Raw genomic sequence first — 25295 nt, 5'->3', positions numbered from 1 at the left:
TTAACTTTCTGTCTCATTGATCTGTCTAATGTTGACAGTGGGGTGTTAAAATCTCCCATTATTATTGTGTGGGAGTCTAAGTCTCTTTGTAGGTCACTAAGGACTTGCTTTATGAATCTGGGTGCTCCTGTATTTGGTGCATCTATATTTAGGATAGTTAGCTCTTCTTGTTGAATTGATCCCTTTACCATTATGTAATGGCCTTCTTTGTCTCTTTTGATCTTTGTTGGTTTAAAGTCTGTTTTATCAGAGACTAGGATTGCAACCCCTGCCTTTTTTTGTTTTCCATTTGCTTGGTAGATCTTCCTCCATCCTTTTATTTTGAGCCTATGTGTGTCTCTGCACATGAGATGGGTTTCCTGAACACAGCACACTGATGGGTCTTAACTCTTTATCCACTTTGCCAGTCTGTGTCTTTTAATTGGAGCATTTAGTCCATTTACATTTAAAGTTAATATCGTTATGTGTGAATTTGATCCTGTCATTATGATGTTAGCTGGTTATTTTGCTCGTTAGTTGATGCAGCTTCTTCCTAGTCTTGATGGTCTTTACATTTTGGCATGATTTTGCAGCAGCTGGTACCGGTTGTGCCTTTCCATGTTTAGTGCTTCCTTCAGGAGCTCTTTTAGGGCAGGCCTGGTGGTGATAAAATCTCTCAGCATTTGCTTGTCTGTAAAGTATTTTATTTCTCCTTCACTTGTGAAGCTTAGTTTGGCTGGATATGAAATTCTGGGTTGAAAATTCTTTTCTTTAAGAATGTTGAATATTGGCCCCCACTCTCTTCTGGCTTGTAGAGTTTCTGCCGAGAGATCCGCTGTTAGTCTGATGGGCTTCCCTTTGTGGGTAACCCGACCTTTCTCTCTGGCTGCCCTTAACATTTTTTCCTTCATTTCAACTTTGGTGAATCTGACAATTATGCGTCTTGGAGTTGCTCTTCTTGAGGAGTATCTTTGTGGCGTTCTCTGTATTTCCTGAATCTGAATGTTGGCCTGCCTTGCTAGATTGGGGAAGTTCTCCTGGATAATATCCTGCAGAGTGTTTTCCAACTTGGTTCCATTCTCCCTGTCACTTTCAGGTACACCAATCAGACGCAGATTTGGTCTTTTCACATAGTCCCATATTTCTTGGAGGCTTTGTTCATTTCTTTTTATTCTTTTTTCTCTAAACTTCCCTTCTCGCTTCATTTCATTCATTTCATCTTCCATCACCGATACCCTTTCTTCCAGTTGATCGCATCGGCTCCTGAGGCTTCTGCATTCTTCATGTAGTTCTCAAGCCTTGGCTTCCAGCTCCATGAGCTCCTTTAAGCACTTCTCTGTATTGGTTATTCTAGTTATACATTTGTCTAAATTTTTTTCAAAGTTTTCAACTTCTTTGCCTTTGGTTTGAATTTCCTTCTGTAGCTTGGAGTAGTTTGATCGTTTGAAGCCTTCTTCTCTCAACTCGTCAAAGTCATTCTCCATCCAGCTTTGTTCCGTTGCTGGTGAGGAACTGCGTTCCTTTGGAGGAGGAGAGGCGCTCTGCTTTTTAGAGTTTCCAGTTTTTCTGCTCTGTTTTTTCCCCATCTTTGTGGTTTTATCTACTTTTGGTCTTTGATGGTGGTGGTGTACAGATGGGTTTTTGGTGTGGATGTCCTTTCTGTTTGTTAGTTTTCCTTCTAACAGACAGGACCCTCAGCTGCAGGTCTGTTGGAGTTTGCTAGAGGTCCACTCCAGACCCTGTTTGCCTGGGTATCAGCAGCAGTGTCTGCAGAACCGTGGATTTTCGTGATCCGTGAATGCTGCTGTCTGATCGTTCCTCTGGAAGTTTTGTCTCAGAGGAGTACCTGGCCGTGTGAGGTGTCAGTCTGCCCCTACTGGGGGGTGCCTCCCAGTTAGGCTGCTCGGGGGTCAGGGGTCAGGGACCCACTTGAGGAAGCCGTCTGCCCGTTCTCAGATCTCCAGCTGCGTGCTGGGAGAACCACTGCTCTCTTCAAAGCTGTCAGACAGGGACATTTAAGTCTGCAGAGGTTACTGCTGTCTTTTTGTTTGTCTGTGCCCTGCCCCCAGAGGTGGAGCCTACAGAGACAGGCAGGCCTCCTTGAGCTGTGGTAGGCTCCACCCAGTTGGAGCTTCCAGGCTGCTTTGTTTACCTAAGCAAGCCTGGGCAATGGCGGGCGCCCCTCCCCCAGCCTCACTGCCACCTTGCAGTTTGATCTCAGACTGCTGTGCTAGCAGTCAGCGAGACTCCGTGGGCGTAGGACCCTCCGAGCCAGGTGCGGGATATAATCTCCTGGTGCGCCATTTCCTAAGCCCGTTGGAAAAGCACCATATTCGGGTGGGAGTGACCCGATTTTCCAGGTGCTGTCTGTCACCCCTTTCCTTGACCAGGAAAGGGAACTCCCTGATTCCTTGTGCTTCCCAAGAGAGGCAATGCCTTGCCCTGCTTCGGCTGGTGCACAGTGCACTGCACCCACTGTCCTGCACCCACTGTCTGGCACTCCCAAGTGAGATGAACCTGGTACCTCAGATGGAAATGCAGAAATCACCCGTCTTCTGCCTCGCTCACGCTGGGAGCTATAGACCGGAGCTGTTCCTATTCAGCCATCTTGGCTCCTCCCCCCGTAATGATCTATTATTGAAGTATCTCCTGGACTATCCCTATTGCCTAGTACAAGGCCTGGCACATAAATGAACAACTGGAGACTTTTTTTCACCCTAGTAGTAGAGAGAGGTTTATATTGATTTATCTATGTTTTCTGTACTAGATTGCAAAAGTAACCAAAATTCTTAACTCCTCCTTGCATTTATGTCCTTGGTAATATGGCTTTGTGGTCCTTCCTTAAAGAGTTTTCCTATAAAGACTCGATTCACCCTCCCCTCAAGTCTAGTCTGGACCTGTTTTGGCCAATAATTTAGCAGAAGTAATGATGTGCCAGTTCTGAACCCAGGCCTCAAGAGACCTTGAATATTTCCTCTCTCCCTCTGGATACCAGTCCAGTTGCCCCATGACCAAGCCTGTGCTAGTCTGTTGAAGGATGAAAGACCAAGACGAACAAAGACAAGCTGTCCCAGTTGAGTCCCCCTAGACCAGACAGACTTCAGCTAAGCTGGATGCTGACTGCAGATACATGGACGAGCCCCACTGCTACAATCTGAGAAGCTGACTCTGACCCAAATTGCTGATATGAAGGATTGTGAGTTAAATAAATGGCTGTTGTTCGAGCCACAAAGTTTGAGGGTGCTTTGTTACATAGCAAAAGTTAGCTTTTGTGATCAATAAATCCACTGCCATGCCCTTATAGATGTTAGGATGGATTAATGAGGATTTGTGTGTATCTAAAACCAGAGAACCCTTGTTCACAGAAAGATTGTACTTACGACTTAACTTTAGAACAAACTGAATGTGGGGAAAATTCAGATTTGGGGAAAATCGTGAGCTGGTTTTTTGAAGCATAGAAATTAATGTTTTTCTTTAAATTCACATGATCTCTTTTTAAACTGAAAGACAAATTGAGTTTGGAAGATTCCATCTACTTGGATCTAAGTTTCCCAAGCTTTGTAATAAAATTCAGACTAAAAAAAAGTCCAAATCTTTTATTCATAATTAATTGTGTATTTTTTTTTTTTTTTTTTTTGCCAGAAGGAGACAGGATATCATTTAGATGCTCAAACCAAACTCCTGGGGTGCTCCTGGTTCACATCCATTTAAGCTTTCTTGAGAGCCTAAGAACATTCTTTAGATTTCCTTTGATATGGCTCTCTTCTCACTTTTGGCCAAATTAATAAAATTCACATATTCAACCCCAAGTTAAAGATAAAAAAGAAGTATTGAACTTTTCTGATTCTTTCTTTGTGAAAATTAAATGTTTTACATGGGAAAATGGCACAGGACTTAAAATTTTATCGATCAGGCTATCAACTGGGGGTCCCCAGGTCTAGAGGAACTGGATACTTAAGTCTCAGAATGTTCTTATTGACAGAGTGAAATCAGCTGTGCAACTCAGAGCTTTTCTAACATGGCGAAGTCTTGAATGTTGAATCTTATTCCCCACCAAACCCCCAGGTCCAGAGCACTATAGTTTACTGCCCCTAGATATTAACCAAATTGCTCTTGATCATAGAGCTCCTGTTCTCCCAGGCCCTGTCTAGGTCTCTTGGATTCTAGACCTGCATCTTACGTTGAAGGCTGACATTAGGCCATCTCTTTCTGGGGCCACCTGGACTGACCAGCCTGACTGCTGCTACCTGTGTTCCAATGCGTTATGACCTAAGAACATCCTAGTTTATGAGGTGTTAATGGACTGTTTACACCATTGAAGCCTACAAATTCTGAAATGCAGCGTGGGCCTAATCATCCCACAGTTCATTTATTCTAACCTATTTTAAGACTGGGAAGAAAGTACTTAAAGGAAAACCCGGGATTAGGTCCCTTTTATGTTGATTAATTTCACAGAAAACCTTAGAAACCCCTGTCCTAGCCCACCCAGAATATTTGGTCACCTAACCAAGATGTACATGCCTAGAATTCTCTGTCTCCCATCCTCTTCAAAGTGAGTCAGACATTTCTGCAAGTGCAAAAATACAATAATGTAAAATATTATTTTTAAAAATATATAAAATTATCCTTTCTCTCACTTATCAATTATTAATGCATATTAAAATGTGGTAAAGGCTACTGTAAACTACCCATTGAATCATCAATGAATGACTAAATGAGTATGGATAAACTATATTATTAACAGAACCGACTTTTAAAAATTTTGCTACCAGTTTGGTTTCTAGCATTGAGGACACTGAGTCACCCTTTGCTCTAGAACAGAAGTAGCAGCCAGCATCACTTCCCTTCCCTCTTCTTCCCTTCCTCCTATCTTGAACAAACAGATGAAGTCTGGAACTGTATCAGCCATTTTTTTTTTTTTTTTTTTTTGTAAGACAGTCTTACTCTGTTGCCCAGGCTAGAGTGCAGTGGTGTATGATCATAACTTACTGCAACCTAGAGCTCTTGGGCTCAAGCTATCCTCCTGCCTCACCTTCCTGAGGTGCACACCACCATGCCCGGCTAACTGTAAAAAATTTTTTTAGTAGAAACAGGATCTCACTATGTTGCCTAGGTTGGTCTCAAACTCCTGGGCTCAAGCAATCCTTCTGCCTCGGTCTTCCAAGGTGCTGGGATTACAGGTGTGAGCCACTATGCCCAGCCTTCTAGCAGCCATCTTGTAATCAAGAAGCAAAAGGCATGGAGACAAAAGCCAACATCCTAAAAATGGTAGCGAGGAAAGAGAAAAAGCTTGGTCTTTGATGGCTTCATTGCCCAACTAGCTGAACCAATGCCAGCAACTGCCCACCTAAGGGCTCCTTATTTTGTGGAAAAAAAAAAGAGTCTCTACCTCTTTAATCCTCTAGTAGGTCTTTTGTTATTTGCCATGGAACGTAGGAAAAAGTTGACTCATATGACACAATATGAGAACTCAGAGTTATTTAAACAATTTTGAACACTAAAGTAATATCATCTTATTAGTAGCCCTCACTGGTGACATTGAGGTTTATTTTAGACATATTCTAAGTTAATTATTGTACATACACTTACTTAATGAGAACAATATCTTAGTTATGAAGTTTTACTTAAAAATGGATGGCAACTTGTGAACACATCTAGTATATACAATTTTCTCCTCTATAGAAAACATTTTTTTTATATCGGTGAAGGATTGTTAACATGAGCTAGTTATTGAGACATGCAAAAAGCCTCAGGAGATCAGGATGGATGTTGTAATTGTATTTGTTGAAACAGAATTCAACTTGTAAATATAATTACCCTTGGCTGTTCAAGTGATCACTTTTCATTTAGATTCCAGTCTGGTCCTTAGAACTTGAAAGTGAGATGAAGAGTCGGGGAGAGGGTTTGAACATTGAGAGGCCATAACAAAGAATGAAAAGGTCTGGGGTTGGTTAGTACAGATCGCAGAAGGGTATAGAACATTTAAAATTAGCCTTCAGATCTATTAAGGGATATTGCTCAGAAAATGAGAGCCAGCTGCACTCCATCTTTTATGATGAAAACCCCAAATCAAGTGGGCTTATACTTTTGCATCTAGGAATCAGATTAACCAAAAAGAACTCTCTTCTGGGAGGTGGTTAAATACTGGAGTTGAATATTTAGATAAGGTTTGAGATCTCACCCTCTGGAGAGAGTGGCTTAAATTTAACTCTGGGTCTCTGTATATTCTTAGTTAACTGCCAAATAACAGAGAGGCACAGGATCCCCCTTCATCTCCCAGCCAACACCATTGCTACCATCTCCTCGTTAGGGGCACCCATGGCCTGTAAGGGAGCAGCAGGGAGGCAAAGGAGGTCTAGGTGGCAGGCAGGCCCCAGAGAGCCTTCTAACTGTCAACCCCTAGGGAAGTCCCTCCCTCCCTCAGGTAGGAGAGGCAGCAGTTCTCAGTGGATGCACTGATGTCTGGAAGTCATTAAACAAAACTCAGGCTCATTCTCATCTACAAGAGGGTGGTTTCTGTGTGGTCCTGCCTGAAGCCAGTGGTGAGGACTGACTGATTTCTCCAGGTTGGCTCTATGATTTTATCAACGTGAGTAATTTGTAAGCTCTGGGCTATTTTTCTTTTAGTAAATCTTTCCTAGTACTGAGTAAACATCTTCCTTGGGAGGGAAAACAAAGTATTCCGCTCTTATAAAGTGGTCATGTGCCATACGAGCCTTTAAAAGCATAAGGAGGCTTGGTGCCTGGCTTCCAGTGAAGTGTCTCTTAAGACTGAAGTGCATGAAATAGCTAACTGGCGCCATCTGGAGGGGAAGTGGAGTCTAAACAACAACGCAAGTTTAAAAAACATTGACAATGACGTAAATGCAAAATTTTATAATATTTATTTTATTTACTTTTATTTTTATTTTATACTTTTAAGACGGAGTCCTGCTTTGTCGCCCAGTTTGGAGTGCAGTGGCGCGGTCTCTGCCCACTGCAACCTCCGCTTCCCGGGTTCAAGCGAATCTCGTGCCCCAGGCCTCCCTAGCAGCTGGGACTACAAGAATGCGCCACCACTCCCGGCTAATTCAGAACATTTTAAAAAATGAAATTCCCTGCTTCTCTCTTCTCCTCTCTTTTCAGAATCCATCCAGACTGATCACAAGGGGGCTGGGGCCTCGCGTTCCTATAGAACCTTAACTTCAGATCTGACGTCATATCCAGTGGAGGGTATGCGTCAGTTGTGGAGTTTTACTATACATGACACACTCCGTTATCAAATGGCACGATTTGGCATGCCATGTTAATCATATTTGAAATTAATCTCAGAATTACATTGTCTCAAAGTGTCATCCACTAATCATCTTCATCAGAATCAGCTGGTTTTTTTGTTTTTTTTTTTTTTGACGGAGTCTCCCTCTGTCGCCCAGGCTGGAGTGCAGTGGCGCGATCTCGGCTCACTGCAAGCTCCGCTTCCCGGGTTCACGCTATTCTGCTTCAGCCTCCCAAGTAGCTGGGACTACAGGCACCCGCCACCATGCCCGGCTAATTTTTTGTATCTTTAGTAGAGACGGGGTTTCACCGTGTTAGCCAGGATGGTCTCGATCTCCTGACCTCATGATCCGCCCGCCTCGGCCTCCCAAAGTTTTGGGATTACAGGCGTGAGCCACCACGCCTGGCCAGCTGGGGTAATTTTTAAAACTGCAGGTTTATAGACTTCAGTTCAGGCCCCCTGAATCTGAATTTCTTTCATAGTGCATGGGATCAATTAACTAAATAGAAGTAAATTTTGTTTTTTATTTGATCAAACACAAATATAGTGCTTACTATAGGCCAGGTGCTATTATTAGAACTTCATAAATATTAATGTATTGATGCATTTATTTGGTTTTTCTCAACAACCATAGAAACCTAGGTGTGTTTGTTCTGTTTTGTTTTGTTTTTTTTTTTTTTTGAGACAAGGTCTTGCTCTGTTGCCCAGAGTGGAGTGCAGTGACATGATCACAGATCACTGCAGCCTCGATCTCCCAGGCTCAAGCAATCCTCCCACCACAGCCTCCTGAGTAGCTAGGACTATGGGCATGTGCCACCAGAAAGCTCTACTACACATATCTGGTCTCTTGACACTTTCCTGGCTAGCTAAATATTTAGCTAAATATTGAACCCGGAAGGCAGATCAATAAATCTGACTGAGAAAAATGAGTGAATACTGGTGAGGCAAGCAGAGTTGGGGGTCAAAGGCAGAGACATATTTTAGAATAGGAGAGACCAAAGCACATGTGTAGGTTGAGACAATATGGCAAAAAGAGACAGAGAAAATAAAGTTATAAGAATACGAGGAGATAGGTCAAGGTTTAAGAGAAAATGGCACGTACTCTGGGATAAAACAGAAGAGAAACATTAGTAAATAGCGACATCTCATTCCTTGAATATGGAGGAAACAAGACAAGAAACTAGGCAGATGTAGGTCCATGTATAGATCCCGCTACTTGGGGTCATGTCCAGCCTCTGAAGCTTTTAATTGCTCCCCTCCTATCCCAACCTCTTTCTGACCCATTCTCTGCCTGCAAAAACTTGTGTCCAGTAGCCTAACAACTGTGGGAGTGTGACACCATTGATTGGCATATGGCAATGAACACCCCTAACTTTGGTAACTTTGTTCTAAAGGAGTAGCACTCAAAAAAGTCAAAGCAACATCTTTACTGATTTGTACTTATATTTCTAATTTGTACTTGCAGTGAGTGGGTGAGAACAACTTAAAAAAAATGAAATCCAAGTTCTGAGAGTCTTCCAAAATTGCTCCACAACGCTGGGCTATGGCGGAGGCTGTTTATTTTTTGAATCTGATAATGTTCTGCTTAATCTTCTGAAGTATTTGTATTGAGAGTATTGGTCCAGGAGATCAGATCTTCCACTTCCTCTTCCCTGGGCTCATCTGTGTCATTTTCATATAATGAAGTGTCACTCTTCCACCCCTCCTCTTCTGTTTCATAAATGTCTGTGATGCTATTTATTGCAGTTGGTGACTCAAGAAAAATTTCATCTGTGGTGGGAATTATAAAAAATAGAAATTTAATAGACATAATAAGAAAAACAATAAAAAGAGAAGTGTTCCTGCATTTGTAGGATAATGCCAAAGACCATCTGAATGAATGTGAGCAACCTTTTATACACTTTCTAAACTTCATGTTTTGTAAGTAACTTTATTTGTCAAAAATCATTCTTTCCATTTTGCTCAATCTTTTGATGCTTTGTTAGTTCATTCATTTAGCATATATATTTACTGGGTCTCTGCTAAGGGCCAGTTGATGTGCAAGGGAAAAGCTGCTTTGGGAGCACAGGGAGGGAATCACTGTGTCTAAGTGAAAACTGAGTCGGACTTTGAAACAGGAAGACCAGTTTGTTAGACAGAGAAGGGAGGTCAGAACATGTTAGATAGAAGAAACAGCACACATCGTATAAGCACAAAGGTATGAGAGGACTTGACAGGGTTAGGGGTGATCAGAATGGATTCTCCCGCGCTTCCACTGTGCCAGGTGCGGTGCTAACCCGTCGACAGCTATAATATTATTTAACTCAGACACAACCCTTGTGATGGGCAGGTATTATTATTCTTATTTTACAGATGAGGAAACTGAGGCTGAGCAACCTATAGTAACTTGATCAAAGATATCCAGCTAATAACAAGACTCGTCCCAGATCTGTCTATCCAAAAACACAATGTTATAGTATACAGAAAGTTTCGTGGAGCTGGAAGGGAGGCTGAAGCCAGATCAGGAAAGCCTCATATGTCATGCAAAGGACTTTCATCTTTATCTTATAGGCCTTGTAAACAGGGAAATAAACTGATTATACTTTTCAAAAGGAGAATATAGATATAATGTCTATATTTCTAGATGTATATTTCTACACAGCATGGGGACCTTGCTTTCTGGGGATGAACTCTAGCTGGTACTATTTATGTTCTGTTAACTCTAAAATCTCACTGCATTCTCTTCCCTTTTTCCTAGTTGTCACCGGATTCACTGCTGATTATGGGTTCCAGGACAAATTTTGTTTGCCTCATATGTTTATTTCCCTCACACATGAAATAAACCCTGTAATATTTGCTGTCTTCTAATGTTATAGACATGGGCTACAAGTGACTTGTTTTCCTTCTGTCTTTGGTTTATAGAAAGATACACAGACAGACCGGGCATGGTGGCTTACACCTGTAATCCCAGCATTTTGGGAAGCCAAGGCAGGTGGATCCCTTGAGGTCACGGGTTCGAGACCAGCCTGCCCAACATGGTGAAACCCTGTCTCTACTAAAATACAAAAATTAGCCGGGTGTGGTGGCAGGAGCCTGTAATCTCAGCTGCTCTGGAGGCTGAGGCAGGAGACTCACTTGAACCCGGAAGGCAGAGGTTGCAGTGAGCTGAGATTGACCCACTGCACTCCAGCCTGGGTGACAGAGTGAGACTCCCTCTCAAAACAAAACAAAGAGAGAAAGATACACAGAGAGATGTGAGTTTACACAGTCACCATTATCCTATGGTTATCCTGAGGCCCACAGTGATTTTTAATTTTTTGTACTTTCGGTACTAATATTTAGTTGTAATTAATTTAAAACTAAATTCTGTCTGTGCCTTGAGAAAAGCATCTATTTATTTTCCATGAACATATTATTGATGGACTAACTCCAGTTCTTTCTAACCATGCTTGGGCCTTTCTGACTCCACATGCTTTTGATTACAAGAAATATAAAGCCAAGTCAACCCAGTTTAAACAATAGGAGAGTGTTTTATCTCACATAAGAGAAAAGCCAGAGTGGAGAGCAAGACTGAATGTTTTCAGTGACTCCACAATGTCACGAAGGACACAGCTCTTCTTACTGCTTGCTTTGCTAACTGAGGTGTTGTCTTCATCTTCAGGTGCATAGCAAGAGAGCTACGGCCATTCTAGTAACCACACCGGACACAGCAACATCCAGGGGAAAAAGCGATCTTCTCACCAAGATCTCATTTTTAAGAGTGGACGGCAAAACCATCCCCTGAAGTGCCCAGCATATTTCCCCTCAAGCAGGATCCTGTCACATGCCATTTCTTTTATTTTAATTTAATTTAATTTTTTTTTTGAGGCAGGGTTTCACTCCCATTGTCCAGGCTGGAGTGCGGTGGCGTGCTTTCAGCTCACTGCAACCTCTGCCTCCTGGGATCAAGTGATTCTCTCACCTCAGCCTCCCAAGTAACTGGGACTATAGGCATTCACCACCATGCCCAGCTAATTTTTTTTTTAGTAGGGATGGGGTTTTACCATGTTGGCCAGGCTGGTCTCAAACTCCTGACCTCAGGTGATCCACCCACCTTGGCCTCCCAAAGTGTTGGGATTACAGGCGTGAGCCACTGCGCCCCGCCCCATTTCTAAACTAGTTACTGGGAAGGGAAATGGGATCACCATGATTGGCTGACGTGAGTTGCTGGCGTGGAATGAAAGTTGGGAATCAACCACCTTGACTATTTGCCTTCTTAGTTCCTGCCCTGTTAAAAACTCCCAGGAAGCATAAAAAGAAACCTGGCTAGATCAGCAGACTATAATGCAAAATAAATATAGAAATGTTTCTTTAGAACATAAAAAACAATATTATTTTGAATTTCTCTCCTCCAGGAAATCTTAAGCATTATAAATCTCTCTGAGACACCTTGGATTTGGTGGTTGGAATCAGTAATAAAGGTGGGGATTTTGTTACTATGTTAACAAAATAAGTTATGGAAGCACAAATTCTAACTGCCTTATATTTTCCATGCCTTTCTTGGGTTGGATCATGGAAACTCTGCCTCTGATAATTTATTTTTAATCTGAAAATAGTTTAGCTAATAAAGATATTAAAATCTGTGCTGACTGATGGGCTTTGATGATTGCCAAATGGTTTATTTCTATTCAGTCCTGTTTTCAGCCTGGGTTCAGTTAGGAAAACAGAGCCACTACAAGTAATACAAGAGTGAGAGTCTAACACAGGAATGTGGGATTATCCAGCTGTGGGAGGACCCAGGGGAGTGAAGATCTGGAAGCTACAGCTGGAGAATTGAAAAAAGAGTCGTGACCCACTTTAGTCTGATGCACTGACACGAGTGGGAAACCAGGAGCTCATAGAGTACAAGAGGCTGCACACATTTAGCCACCCAAAGTGGGACAAAAACAATGAGTTCATGGGGATATTTGTGCAGCCACCATGTCTGTGAAGTGAGGCTGTGGAGAGATGTGTGAAAATGCCATATCTGAGGAACCCGCCATGCCTGATATGAACAACTTCCCAAGCATAATGTCCTCAACTTCCCTCCCACCTGCCAAATCTCTGGTGAGTTTCTCCCACTGGCAAACTATGACATGCCATCCTTCTCTGCAAAAGAGGGACACACAATTCTTTCCTTTTCTGAGTCATACTTCCCTTTGATATCCTATATAAGTTCATTCTCGCTACATAATAACTCTCTTGCTACATAATAAACAACCACAAAATCTTAGTGACATACAGCAATAAGTATTTGTTTTGGTCACATGTCAGCAGGTCAATAGGTGGTTGGCTTCTTTGGCTGGGGAATGGCTGGGAAACGTGGGTGGGCAAGCTCAGATCTATGCCTTGAATCTTTCTCTGTGATCAGAGGGCCAGTCCAGGCACGCTCTGGTGATGATGGCAGAAGAGAAAAAGAGCAAGCCAAATCATGCAAACCCTTTCCAAACCCTGGGGGCACACTGCACCCACTAATATTCCACTGATGAAAACAGGTCACAGGGAAAAGCTCAAAGTCAAGGCACAAGGAAACATGTTTTGTTCATGTAGGTGGAGCAGGAATTAATATTTCTGAACAATAATCAAATTTACCACAACCTCTCAGGTATAGTTTCTTCCAGAGTAGACAGAAAGGAGTCTATTCCATGATTAAAGAGGACAAGGCTCAGCACTGGAGCGCTAACCAGTTTCTGGACATTAAACTTAAAATGTTGTCTCTTCCAACTTGCCTTTTCCCCACTTATCATGGGTTTTCACCTTTTTTTCCCCCAAATCACAAGGCAGATAAAAACATGACAATTTTACTTCATCCTACTATTTACTTACTCATTGATAGCTACTGTATGCCAACCACTGTGCTGTGGAAGACTGGGAGGTGAGCAGTCCCTTCCCTCAAGAATCTCACTCTTTTTCAAAGGAGACAGGCAGTAAAGAGAGTAATAACACAGCATGTGTGCCGGACAGACTCCAAGATGGCCCCTAGAATCCCTGCATCCTGGTATTTACACCTGAGTGTAAACTCCTCCTTTCTGAGTGTGGATAGGACCCATGACTTCTAACCAATAAAATAGGATGCAAGTGATAAGGTCTCACTCACATGATTATGTTACATCACATATGACTCCATCTTGCTATCAGACTTGCTCTAAAGACTCTTGCTGGATAAAGTAGGAGGCCAGGCTGGGAGAGCCCATATGGCAAGGAACTGTGTGCAGCCCTCAGCAGCTGAGGGAGGCCTCCCACATATACCCAGCCAGAAGCCAGGGCCCTCATTCCTAAAGACAGAAGAAAATGGATTCTGTCGACAACCTCACTGGGCTGGGAAGCAGATTCCTCCCCCATTCAAACCACTAGGATGAGAATGCAGCCCAGCCAAAGCCTTGATTGCAGCTTTCTGAGACCTTAAGCAGAGGATTCAGCTAAGCTGTGCCTGTACTCCAGGCCCACAGAAACAGTAAAATAATAAATGTGTGTTGTTTTAAACCATTCAATGTGTGCTAATTTGTGACACAGCAATAGAAAACAAATAGAGCATGATACGGCTATGGTAGAAGTGCTATGATAACCCACAAAGAAAGTTTCCTAAAAAAGGTAATACCCGAACTGAATCTCAAAGGATGCATAGGCATTAGAAAGTAAAGAAGGGGAGAGAAGAGCATTTAGAGTAGGGGTATGAGAAAACACAGTGTACTGCTCAAATTTTTTTATGAAATGAGGTAGGGAACAAACAATCATGACCCACTAGCTTAGTGTAGCATTTAGGTTGTGAAGGGGAGAGGGAGGGAATGTCACTGCAAAGACAGAGACAAGTATTAGAGCATTAAGGATTTTCTGTGTCAAAGAGTCTAAATTTTATCCTGAAGGAAAATGGGAAACAAAGTATTTTAGACCTGGTAAAAACATAAGCAGAGCTGAGCTATAGAGACATAGCTTTGTCACCAGTCTGACAAAGCATAGACAAAAATTACTGTAATCACATCAACTTAACCAACTGATCTCTTCCACTGGTGAACATGGTGGGGATGTTGAAAGACAGAGATTGCAGAGGGGAGTAGGGAAATCATGGAGAAAGCAAAGAGCAAGGCTGGAGAAGGCAACATTTCCTACCTCACAGGTACCCTGAAATCTGGAAGAAGGGAGAGTTGAATGGAGAAGGCTGAGGCTGATAATACAGAGGAGGAAATCTGCGTGGCACACCAAACAATTAGGAGGGAGAGAGGTGGATACTGAGCAGGGAAAAGAAACTTGGAGATACGGGGGCAGGGCCCTTGGAGAATCACTGAATGAAGGTGATTGCCTGTGCCTGGCATTTATATGCTGTTATGTTTAGTGGCCAGGTGACAGGAAAAAACAGTAACTATTTTTTTTTGTACTTTTCAGTTCACAAAGAAATTGTCTATACATGGAGTCACTTAGTCATAAGAATCCTGTGAGTAAGGGCAGATTTTTAGCAACTAGGATTTGTTGAACATCTTCCACATACACAGTACTAGCTAAGGATGAAAAAAACTAAGTTCAGAGGTTGAGTGACCTTTCCATAGTAGCACAGAACTGGAATCTGAACCTAAGTTCTCTATCCCCAAATGTCATGCTTTCCCCTCTATACCAGCTGACTTCCATGGTAAGTTACCAGCTCTCCCGGCTGAAGACTCACTCTCAACCTATCCCAACAAGTAAATGGTAATTTTTAAAAGAGCACGAAAAACAACTCAGCATTGTTTCTTTCTTTTCAACCATATTGCATATACCTTTGAATATACAATGAGTTTTAGGGATCAGTTTATTAGTGCTCTGTGTGTTTTGGCTGCTTTTTCATATTTTGAAACTTAGCCTTAAAATTTCAAATTGTATATCAACCTATTAAAGGGTAGTAAGCTTGAAAATATAAGTAACTCAATTCTGTCAAAGTTCCAATTCCTATGTGACTAATTTACCAAATTAATTTGGAAAGTCAGAAAAAGTTAAAGCAACCTTAAAAGGAGAACACAAGGATTAGCCCTCATATATTCCAACTTACTTAAATGGAAAAAAGTTTAAAGTTATGCATATTATGCATAATATGTTATTTATAAAAGCAAAACAAATAGAGTGAATCGATTTACTTAGAGTTGGGCAGAGCTTAATTTCTTCCATTGAGTGAGTGACTTCATGAGGCATTCTTTTTCTAGCAAGCCAACACTTGATAACGGAATACCTAGAAAGAGAAAAAGAAAACTAAATTCCCAAATGAATTTTGGTAAGGGTATATTTACTTCTGAGAAAAATAAGTGAAACAAATGAAATGAAACATAAAAGTAGAACAATAGGCTTTGAATATGGAACCATTCTGAGTCTTGACTAATTTAATGGTAAAGTAAAATTATTTCAATATGTGCTTTCCAACAGAATAGAAGTTGGAAAAGCAAATGAATATGACATGTTTACTACTTATGTCATAGTAAAAAACATCATAGTAAAAGTAATAAAAACATCATGTGGTATAGCAAGGTATATTAGTTTCCTTGGGCCACCTTAACAAATGACCACAAACTTGGTGACTTAAAATAACAGAAATGTATTCTCTCATAGTTCTGGAAGCTAGATGTTGGGGATCAAGGTGGCAGCAGGGCCTCCCTCCCTCGGAAAGCCCTAGGGAAGAATCTTCTATTGCCTCTTCCTAGCTTCTGCTGGCTGTCAGCAATCCTTTACATTGTATGGCTTATAGCTGCATCACTCCAGTCTCTGCTTCCAATGTCACATGACCTTTTCCGTGTGGGTCTCTGTAGTTCTGCTCTCTTATAAGGACAACAGTCATTGGACTCAGGGTCCACCTAAATCTAGTATAGCCTCATCTTAACTAATTACTATTTATATCTGCAAAGACCCTATTTTGAAATAAGGTCATATGCTGAGGTTCTGGGGGGACAGGTGTTTGTTTTGTGGGGACATGATTCAACCCACTACACAGGGGAGAAATTCTATCAGAAAAATTAATGACTCATCCTGGATAAAACAACAGGCTTATGGGAGACATCAATGAGCCCAAGTCAAGCTATTAGAGCATTTCCTTGGAGAAAGAGTTTACATATGGAAATCAAAAATTTTACAAAATTTTTTTGGGGGACGACTACTTTTTGGGGTACATAATGAAAAGAAAACTTTTGGCAACAAAGTTTTCTTGAAGAAAAGTAGGTGGCATAGAAATGTTTTTGTCAAAAACAAGAAATGGGGAAAGGATTCCCTATTTAATAAATGGTGCTGGGAAAACTGGCTAGCCATATGTAGAAAGCTGAAACTGGATCCCTTCCTTACATCTTATACAAAAATTAATTCAAGATGAATTAAAGACTTAAATGTTAGACCTAAAACCATAAAAACCCTAGAAGAAAATCTAGGCAATACCATTCAGGACATAGGCATGGGCAAGGACTTCATGACTAAAACACCAAAAGCAACGGCAACAAAAGCCAAACTTGACAAATGGGATCTAATTAAACTAAAGAGCTTCTGCACAGCAAAAGAAACTACCATCAGAGTGAACAGGCAACCTACAGAATGGGAGAACATTTTTGCAACCTACCCATCTGACAAAGGGGTAATGCCCAGAATCTACAAAGAACTTAAACAAATTTATAAGAAAAAAACAAACAACCCCGTCAAAAAGTGGGCAAAGGATATGAACAGACACTTCTCAAAAGAAGACATTTATGCAGCCAACAGACACTTAAAAAAATGCTCATCATCACTGGCCATCAGAGAAATGCAAATCAAAACCACAATGAGATACCATCTCACGCCAGTTAGAATGACGATCATTAAAAAGTCAGGAAACAACAGATGTTGGAGAGGATGTGGGGAAATAGAAACGCTTTTACACTGTTGGTGGGAGTGTAAACTAGTTCAACCATTGTGGAAGACAGTGTGGCGATTCCTCAAGGATCTAGAACTAGAAATACCATTTGATCCAGCAATCCCATTACTGGGTATATACCCAAAGGATTGTAAATCATGCTACTATAAAGACACAGGCACACATATGTTTATTGTGGCACTATTCACAATAGCAAAGACTTGGAACCAACCCAAATGTCCATCTATGATAGACTGGATTAAGAAAATGTGGCACATATATACCATGGAATACTATGCAACCATAAAAAAGGATGAGTTCATGTCCTTTGCAGGGACATGGATGAAGCTGGAAACTATCATTCTGAGCAAACTGTCACAAGGACAGAAAACCAAACACTGCATGTTCTCACTCATAGCTGGGAACTGAACAATGAGAACAACTGGACACGGGGCGGGGAACATCACACAAGGGGACCTGTCTTGGGGTGGGGGGATGGGGGAGGGATAGCATTAAGAGAAATACCTAATGTAAATGACGAGTTAATGGGTGCAGCAAAACAACACGGCACATGTATACCTATGTAACAAACCTGCACGTTGTGCACATGTACACTAGAACTTAAAGTATAAAAAAAAAAGAAACGTTTTTGTCACACAAGTGTACCTCACTTATACAATACTACCAGAAAGTTCATTCATTTAATAAATATTCATTGAACACCAACCTTGTGCCAGACACTATTTTAGGAGCTAATAATATAGGAAGAACAAGACAGACAAGGTCTCTGACTTCATGGAAGAGACAAAAATGAATAAATATAAAAATCAAGATAAATCAGTAGTGATACATGCTATAGTGAAAATAAAGCCTCCAATAAAATGTGTGAAAGTAGTGAGAACAGACATCCTTGCCTTGTTCCTGACATTCAGGGCAAACATTCAGTTTTTTTAGCATTATATATGATGTTGGCTATAGTTATGGAAATAAATATGCTTTATCAGGTTGAGGAAGTTCTTTCCTATTCTTAATTTACTGAGAGTTTTTTTTTTCAATGTGTGAAAATCTCCTTTATCTTTTATTTTAAAACTCTCTCCCATCTTTGAGAGATTTTAATTTTAATTTTATTTGAAAAGTTTATTGGGGTGAAATTCACATAACATATAATTAGTCTTTTTTATCTTCAACTTTTATTTTAAGTTCAGGGGTACATGTACAAGATGTGCAGGTTTGTTACATAGGTAAACGTGTGCCATGGTGGATTACTGCACAGATCATCCCATCACCTATGTACTAAGCCCAGCATCCATTAGCTATTCTTCCTGATGCTCTCCATCCCCCAACACACCCCCCTCACCAACAGGCCTCAGTGTGTGTTGTTCCCTGTCATGTGTCCATGAGCTCTCATCATTCAGCTCCCACTTCTAGGTGAGAACATATGGTGTTTGGTTTTCTGTTCCTGTGTTAGTTTGCTGAGGATAATGGCTTCCGACTCCATCCATGACCCTGCAAAGGACATGATCTCGTTCTTTTTTGTGGCTGCATAGTATTCCATGGTGTGTATGTACCACATTTTCTTTTTCCAGTCTATCATTGAAGGGCATTTGGGTTGATTCCATGTCTTTGCTCTTGTGAATAGTGCTGCAATGAACATAGGCATGCATGTGTCCTTATAACAGAATGATTTATATTCCTTTGGGTATATACCCAGGATTTGAACTGCTGAGTCAAATAGTATTTCTGCCTCTAGGTCTTTGAGGAATCACCACACTGTCTTCCACAATGGTTGAACTAATTTACACACCCACCAACAGTGTAAAAGTGTTCCTTTTTTTCTGCAAACTTGCCAGCATCTGTTGTTTTTTGACTTTTTAATAATCGCCATTCTGACTGGCATGAGCTGTGGTTTTGATTATCTCATTGTGGTTTTGATTTACATTTCTCTAATGATCAGTCAAGTTGAGCTTTTTTCCATATGTTTGTTGGCTGCATGTATATCTTCTTTTGAGAAGCTTCTGTTCATGTCCTTTGCCCATTTTTTAATGGTTTTTTTTTTCCTGTAAATTTGTTTAAGTCCCTTGTAGATGCTGGATAGACATCAGATGGATAGATGGCAAAATTTTTCTCCCTTTCTTTAGGTTGTCTGTTCACTCTGATGGTAGTTTCCTTTGCTGTGCAGAAGCTCTTTCATTAGATCCCATTTGTCAATTTTTGTTTTTGTTGCAATTGCTTTTGGCATTTTCATCATGAAATCTTTGCCCGTGCCTATGTCCTGAATGGTATTGCCTAGATTTTCATCTAGGGTTTTTATAGTTTTGGGTTTTACATTTAAGTCTCTAATCCATCTTGAGCTAATTTTTGTGTAAGGTGGAAGGAAGGGGTCCACTTTCAATTTTCTGCATATGGCTAGCTAGTTTTCCCAGCACCATTTATTAAATAGGGAATTCTTTCCCCATTGCTTGTTTTTGTCAGGTTTGTTGAAGATCAGACAGTTGTAGGTGTGTGGTCTTATTTCTGAGTTCTCTATTCTGTTCCATTGGTCTATGTCTCTGTTCTTGTACTAGTATCATGCTGTTTTGGTTACAGTAACCTTGCAGTGTAGTTTGAAGTTGGGTAGCATGATGCCTCCAGCTTTGTTCTTTTTGCTTAGGATTGTCTTGGCTACTTGGGTTCTTTTTTGGTCCATACATATTTTAAAATAGTTTCTTCTAATTCTGTGAAGAATGTCAATGGTAGTTTAATGGGAATAGCATTGAATCTATAAATCACTTTGGGCAGTATGGCCATTTTCACAATATTGATTCTGTCTATCCATGAGCATGGAATGTTTTTCCATTTGTTTGTGTCCTCTGATTTTTTTGAACAGTGGTTTGTGGTTCTCTGTGAAGAGGTCCTTCACTTCCCTTGTTAGCTGTATTCCTAGTATTTTATTCTTTTTGTAGCAATTGTGAATGGGAGTTCATTCATGATTTGACTCTCTGCTTGCCTGTTGATTGGTGTATAGGAATAATAGCAATTTTTGCACATTGATTTTGTATCCTGAGACTTCGCTGAAGTTGCTTATCAGCTTAAGAAGCTTTTGGGCTGAGACCATGGGGTTTTCTAGACATAGGATCATGGTATCGGCAAACAAAGATAATTTGAAGATAACTCCCTCTCTTCCTATTTGAATACCCTTTATTTCTTTCTCTTGCCTAATTGCCCTGGCCAGAACTTCCAATACTATGTTGAATAGGAGCGGTGAGAGAGGGCATCCTTGTCTTGTGATGGTTTTCAAGGGGAATGCTTCCAGCTTTTGCCTATTCAGTAGTTCTGTTTATGTGATGAATCACATTTATTGATTTGTGTATGTTGAGCCAACCTTGCACCCTAAGGATGAAGCCAACTTGATTGTGGTGGATAAGTTTTTTGATGTGCTGCTAGATTCAGTTGGCCAGTATTTTATTGAGGATTTTTGCATCAATGTTCATCAGGGACATTGGCCTGAAGTTTTCTTGTTTCTTGTTGTATCTCTGCCAGGTTTTGGTATCAGGATGATGCTGACTTCATAAAATGAGTTAAGGAGGAGTCTCTTCTTTTCAATTTTTTTTGGAATAGTTTCAGTAGAAATGGTACCAGCTCTTCTCTGTACCTCTGGTAGAATTCAGCTGTGAATCTGTCTGGTTCTGAGCTTTTTTTTTGGTTGGTAGGCTATTATTGCCTCAATTTCAGAACTCATTATTGGTCAATTCAGGGATTCGATTTCTTCCCGGTTCAGTCTTGGGAAGGTGTGTGTGTCCAGAAATTTATCCATTTCTTCTAGATTTTCCAGTTTATGTGCACAGGGGTGTTTATAGTATTCTCTGGTTGTTGTTTGTATTTCTGTGGGGTCAGTGGTGATATCTCCCTTATCATTTCTGACTGTGTTTATTTGATTCTACTCTCTTTTCTTCTTTATTAATCTAGCTAGTGGTCTATTTTATTAATTTTTTTTCAAAAACACAGCTCCTGAATTTGTTGATTTTTTAAGGGTTTTTTGTGTCTCTATCTCATTCAGTTCCACTCTGATCTTGGTTATTTCTTGTCTTCTATTAGCTTTGGGGTTTGTTTGCTCTTGGTTCTCTAGTTCTTTTAGTTGTGATGTTAGATTGTTAACAAGATCTTTCTAGCTTTTTGATGTGGGCATTTAGTGCTATAAATTTCCCTCTCAACACCACTTTAGCTGTATCCCAGAGACTCTGGTACATCATCTCTTGGTTCTTATTTCTTTCAAGTAACTTCTTGATTTCTCCCTTAATTTCTTTATTTACCCAGGAGTCATTCAAGAGCATGTTGTTCAATTTCAGGAGCAGGTTGCTCAATTTCCATTTAGTTGTATAATTTTGAGTGAATTTCTTAATCTTGAGTTCTAATTTGATTGTGCTGTGGTCTGAAAGTCTGTTATGACTTCAGTTCTTTTGCATTTGCTGAGTGTTTTACTTCTGATTATGCAATGAATTTTAAAGTAAGTGCTGTGTGGCAATGAGAACAATGTATATTTTGTTGTTTTTGGGTGGAGAGTTGTGTAGATATCTATTAGGTCCACCTGACCCAGAGCTGAATTCAGGTATTGAATATGTTTGTTATTTTTCTGTCTTGATGATATGTCTAATATTGCCAGTGGGGTGTTAAAGTCTCCCACTATTACTGTGTGGGAGTCTAAGTCTCTTTGTAGGCCTCTAAGAACTTGCTTTATGAATCTTGGTGCTCCTGTATTAGGTGGATATATATTTAGGATAATTAGCTCTTGTTGTCAAATTGAACCCTTTACCATTGTGTAATGCCCTTCTTTGTCTTTTGATCTTTGTTGGTTTAAAGTCTGTTTTCAGAAACTAGGATTGCAACCCCTGCCTTTTTCTGTTTTCCATTTGCTTGGTAAATTTTCCTCCATCCCTTTATTTTGAGCCTATGTGTATCCGTACATGTGAGATGGGTCTCTCGAAGACAGCATACCAATGGGTCTTGGCTCCTTATTCAGCTTGCCACTCTATGTCTTCTATTTGGGGCGTTTAGCACATTTGCATTTAAGATTAGTATTGTTATGTGTGATTTTGATCCTGTCATCATGATGCTAGCTGGTTATTTTGCAGACTTGTTTATGTGGTTGCTTCATAGTGTCACTGGTCTGTGTACTTCAGTATGTTTTTGTAGTGGCTGGTAATGATTTTTCCTTTCCATATTTAGTGCTTTCTTCAGGAGTTCTTGCAAGGCAGGCCTGGTGGTGATGAATTCCCTCAGCATTTGCTTTTCTGAAAAGGATCTTGTTTCTCCTTCACTTACGAAGGTTAGTTTAGGCAGATATGAAATTCTGGGTTGGAAATTCTTTTCTTTAAAAATGTTGAATATTGGTCCCCAATCTCTTCCAGTTTGTAGGGTTTCTGCTGAGAGGTCCACTGTTAGTCTGATGGGCTTCCCTACAGGTGCCTTGGCCTTTCTCTCTGTCTTCCCTGAACATTTTTTCCTTCATTTCGACCTTGGAGAATCTGATGATTATGTGTCTTGGGGTTGATCTTCCTGTGGAGTATCTTACTGGGGTTCTCTGGATTTCCTGAATTTGAATATTTGCCTGTCTTGCCAGGTTGGGGAAATTCTCCTGGATGATATCCTGAAGTATGTTTTCCAACTTGCTTCCATTCTCCTCATCTCTTTCAGTTACCCCAATCAGTTGTAGGTTTGGTGTCCCTACATAATCCCATATATCTCAGAGTTTTTGTTCATTCCTTTTTGTTCTTTTTTCTCTATTCTTATCTGCCTATCTTATTTCAGAAAGATAGACTTCAAGCTCTGAAATTCTACCCTCCACTTGATCTATTCTGCTATTGATACTTGTGATTGCGTTGTGAAGTTCTAAAGTTGTGTTTTTCAGCTCCATCAGGTTGTTTATGTTCCTCTCTAAACTGGATATTCTGGTTATCATCTTCTGTATTGTTTTATCATGATTCTCAGCTTCTTTGCGTTGGTTTACAACCTGTTCCTTTAGCTCAGTGAAGTTTGTTATAACCCACCTTCTGAAGCCTACTTCTGTCAATTCAACCATCTCAGCCTCAGCCCAGTTCTGTACCCTTGCTGGAAAGGTGTTGCAGTCATTTGGAGGAGAATAGACATGCTGGCTTTTTGAGTTTTCAGCATTTTTGTATTGACTTTTTCTCATCTTTATGGGCTCATCTACCTTTAATCTTTGAGGTTGCTGACCTTTGAATGAGGTTTTTGTGGGGTCTTTGTTGTTGTTGTTGTTTTCTGTTTGTTTGTTTTTCTTTTAACAGGTAGGCCACTGACTGTTAGCAAATGTAGGGCTGCTATGGTTTGCTGGGGGTCCACTCCAGAACCTAGTTGCCTCTGCTTTTCCTGTACTTGGAAGTATCACCAGTGCGGGCTGCAAAACAGCAAAGATGGCAGCCTGTTCCTTTCTCTGGAAGCTCCATCCTAGAGGGATACTGACCTATTGCTGTCCCAAACACTCCTGTAGGAGGTGACTGGAGACCCCTATTGGAAGGTCTCTCCCAGTCAGGAGGAACAGGATCAAGGACCCACTTATAGAAGCCATCTGGCTGCTTTTTAGTAGAGAAGATGTGCTGCATTGAGGGGGACCCTTCCTCGTCCAGACCACCTGGCCTCTCCAGAGCCAGCAGGCTGGAACAACTGAGTCAACTGAACCACAGAGATGGTGGCCACCCCTCCCCTCAGGAGCTCCATCCCAGGGTGAGATCAGAGTTCTGTCCATATAAGCCTGGCTAGAGTGACTGAAGGCCCCCTACAGGAGGTAGTGAAAAGGAATGGACTGGGATCTCGCTTAAAGAAGCAGTCTGGGCACAGTCTGGCAAAGCAGGTGTGTTGTGTTGGTGGGGAGACCCCTCCTCGTCTGGAATGCCTGGACTCTCCAGAGCTGGCAGGCTGGAATGCTGAGTCAACAGAACTGCAGAAATGGTGACCACATTTTCCCCCAGGAACTCCCTTCTGTCTTAAGCAGACTCAGCCTATTGCTGCTGGTTGGCTGGAGCTCCAAGCTAGCGGGCCCCAACTTGTGAGGTGCTGTGAAAGTGGGACCCTCAGGATGGTGCTGCTTGGCTCTCTGGATTCAGCCCCCTTCCTAGGGGAATGTATGGGTGGATCTGGTGCCTCACTGGAGGATTTTAGGACCAGATTATGTAAAACACCTGAGTCTCTGCTAAGATTACACACAGCTCTGTATATTGGACCCAAGGCCCTGGTAGCAGGGGCTCATGAGGGGATCTCCTGATCCACGAGTTGCAAAGATCCGTGGGAGAAGCATGGTTTCCTGGGCAGGGTCACACACTCACTCACTGCCTCCCTTGTCTTGGGGTGGGGATTTTGTTGGCGTCATGCTGCTCCTGGGTGGGCTCTCACCTCACCCTGCTTTTCTTTGCTCTCCATGGGTTGAACTGATTGCCTAGTCAGTCCCAATGTGAGAACCTGGATACTTCACTTGAACATGCCAAATTCACTCCCTGTTCTGAGTTTTCTCTTTTTTAAATCAGAAATGGATACAGAATTTCTTTTCATCTATTGAGAGGATCATATAGTTCTTCTTTCTTATACTAATTTACATTATTCGAAATTTTCAAATGTTAAACCAATGTTACATTTCTAGTATAAACTCCATATAGTCATGATGAATTATCATAATTATTTACAATTATTTATCATAATTAATCCTGACCAAGTATAGTTTATATCAGGAATGTAACCTTGATTTAACATTCAAAAAAACTAACACATTTTAAAACTATATTATATATGTTATATATATATTTAGATTAAATATACTAAAATTTTTGCATCTGTGTCTGTGAGGCATATTTATCTGTAGTTTTCTTTTTTTGGGGGGGCGGGGAAGGATTCCCTATTTATTGATTTATTTATTTTTTATTATACTTTAAGTTTTAGGGTACATGTGCACAACCTGCAGGTTGGTTACATATGTATACATGTGCCATGTTGGTGTGCTGCACCCATTAACTCGTCATTTAACATTAGGTGTATCTCCTAATGCTATACCTCCCCCCTCCCCCCACCCCACGACAGGCCTTGGTGTGTGATGTTCCCCTTCCTGTGTCCATGTGTTCTCATTGTTCAATTCCCACCTATGAGTGAGAACATATGGTGTTTGGTTTTTTGTCCTTGCAATAGTTTGCTGAGAATGATGGTTTCCAGCTTCATCCATGTCCCTACAAAGGACATGAACTCATCATTTTTTAT

At 41.0% G+C, this 25295-nt stretch overlaps 1 protein-coding gene across 11 annotated transcripts in view, besides 1 other annotated feature; it reads right to left on the bottom strand.

Annotated features, from left to right (window-relative positions):
• Nucleotides 1–8659: 8659 nt before the first annotated feature.
• UBE2U (ubiquitin conjugating enzyme E2 U) overlaps nucleotides 8660–25295 on the bottom strand; it is a 63746-nt gene continuing 47110 nt past the window's right edge. For all 11 annotated transcript variants that reach the window (NR_158769.2, NM_001366232.2, NM_001366234.2 and 8 more), the window contains 2 exons: nucleotides 15334–15425; nucleotides 8660–9004 (listed from right to left, as the gene is read on the bottom strand). Coding sequence is in view for 10 of the 11 variants with exons in the window: in NM_001366232.2 (NP_001353161.1) it covers nucleotides 8820–9004; nucleotides 15334–15425 (277 nt within the window). In the remaining variant the exon portion in view is untranslated. The remainder of the gene's footprint in view (nucleotides 9005–15333; nucleotides 15426–25295) is intronic.
• Nucleotides 12198–13397: an enhancer, noted in NCBI's record as "P300/CBP strongly-dependent group 1 enhancer chr1:64728314-64729513 (GRCh37/hg19 assembly coordinates)". NCBI's record gives its function as "activates an origin of replication core promoter dependent on BRD2, BRD4, P300/CBP, MED14 and CDK7 cofactors, with strong dependence on P300/CBP, by STARR-seq in HCT116 cells {active_cell/tissue: HCT116}" and the evidence as "EXISTENCE:reporter gene assay evidence [ECO:0000049][PMID:35650434]".

This window comes from Homo sapiens, chromosome 1 (assembly GCF_000001405.40).
Source record: "Homo sapiens chromosome 1, GRCh38.p14 Primary Assembly".
Lineage (NCBI taxonomy): Eukaryota > Metazoa > Chordata > Mammalia > Primates > Hominidae > Homo > Homo sapiens.
The sequence above is the reverse complement of the archived record's forward strand: the minus strand, read 5'-3'. Positions and strand labels throughout refer to the sequence as shown.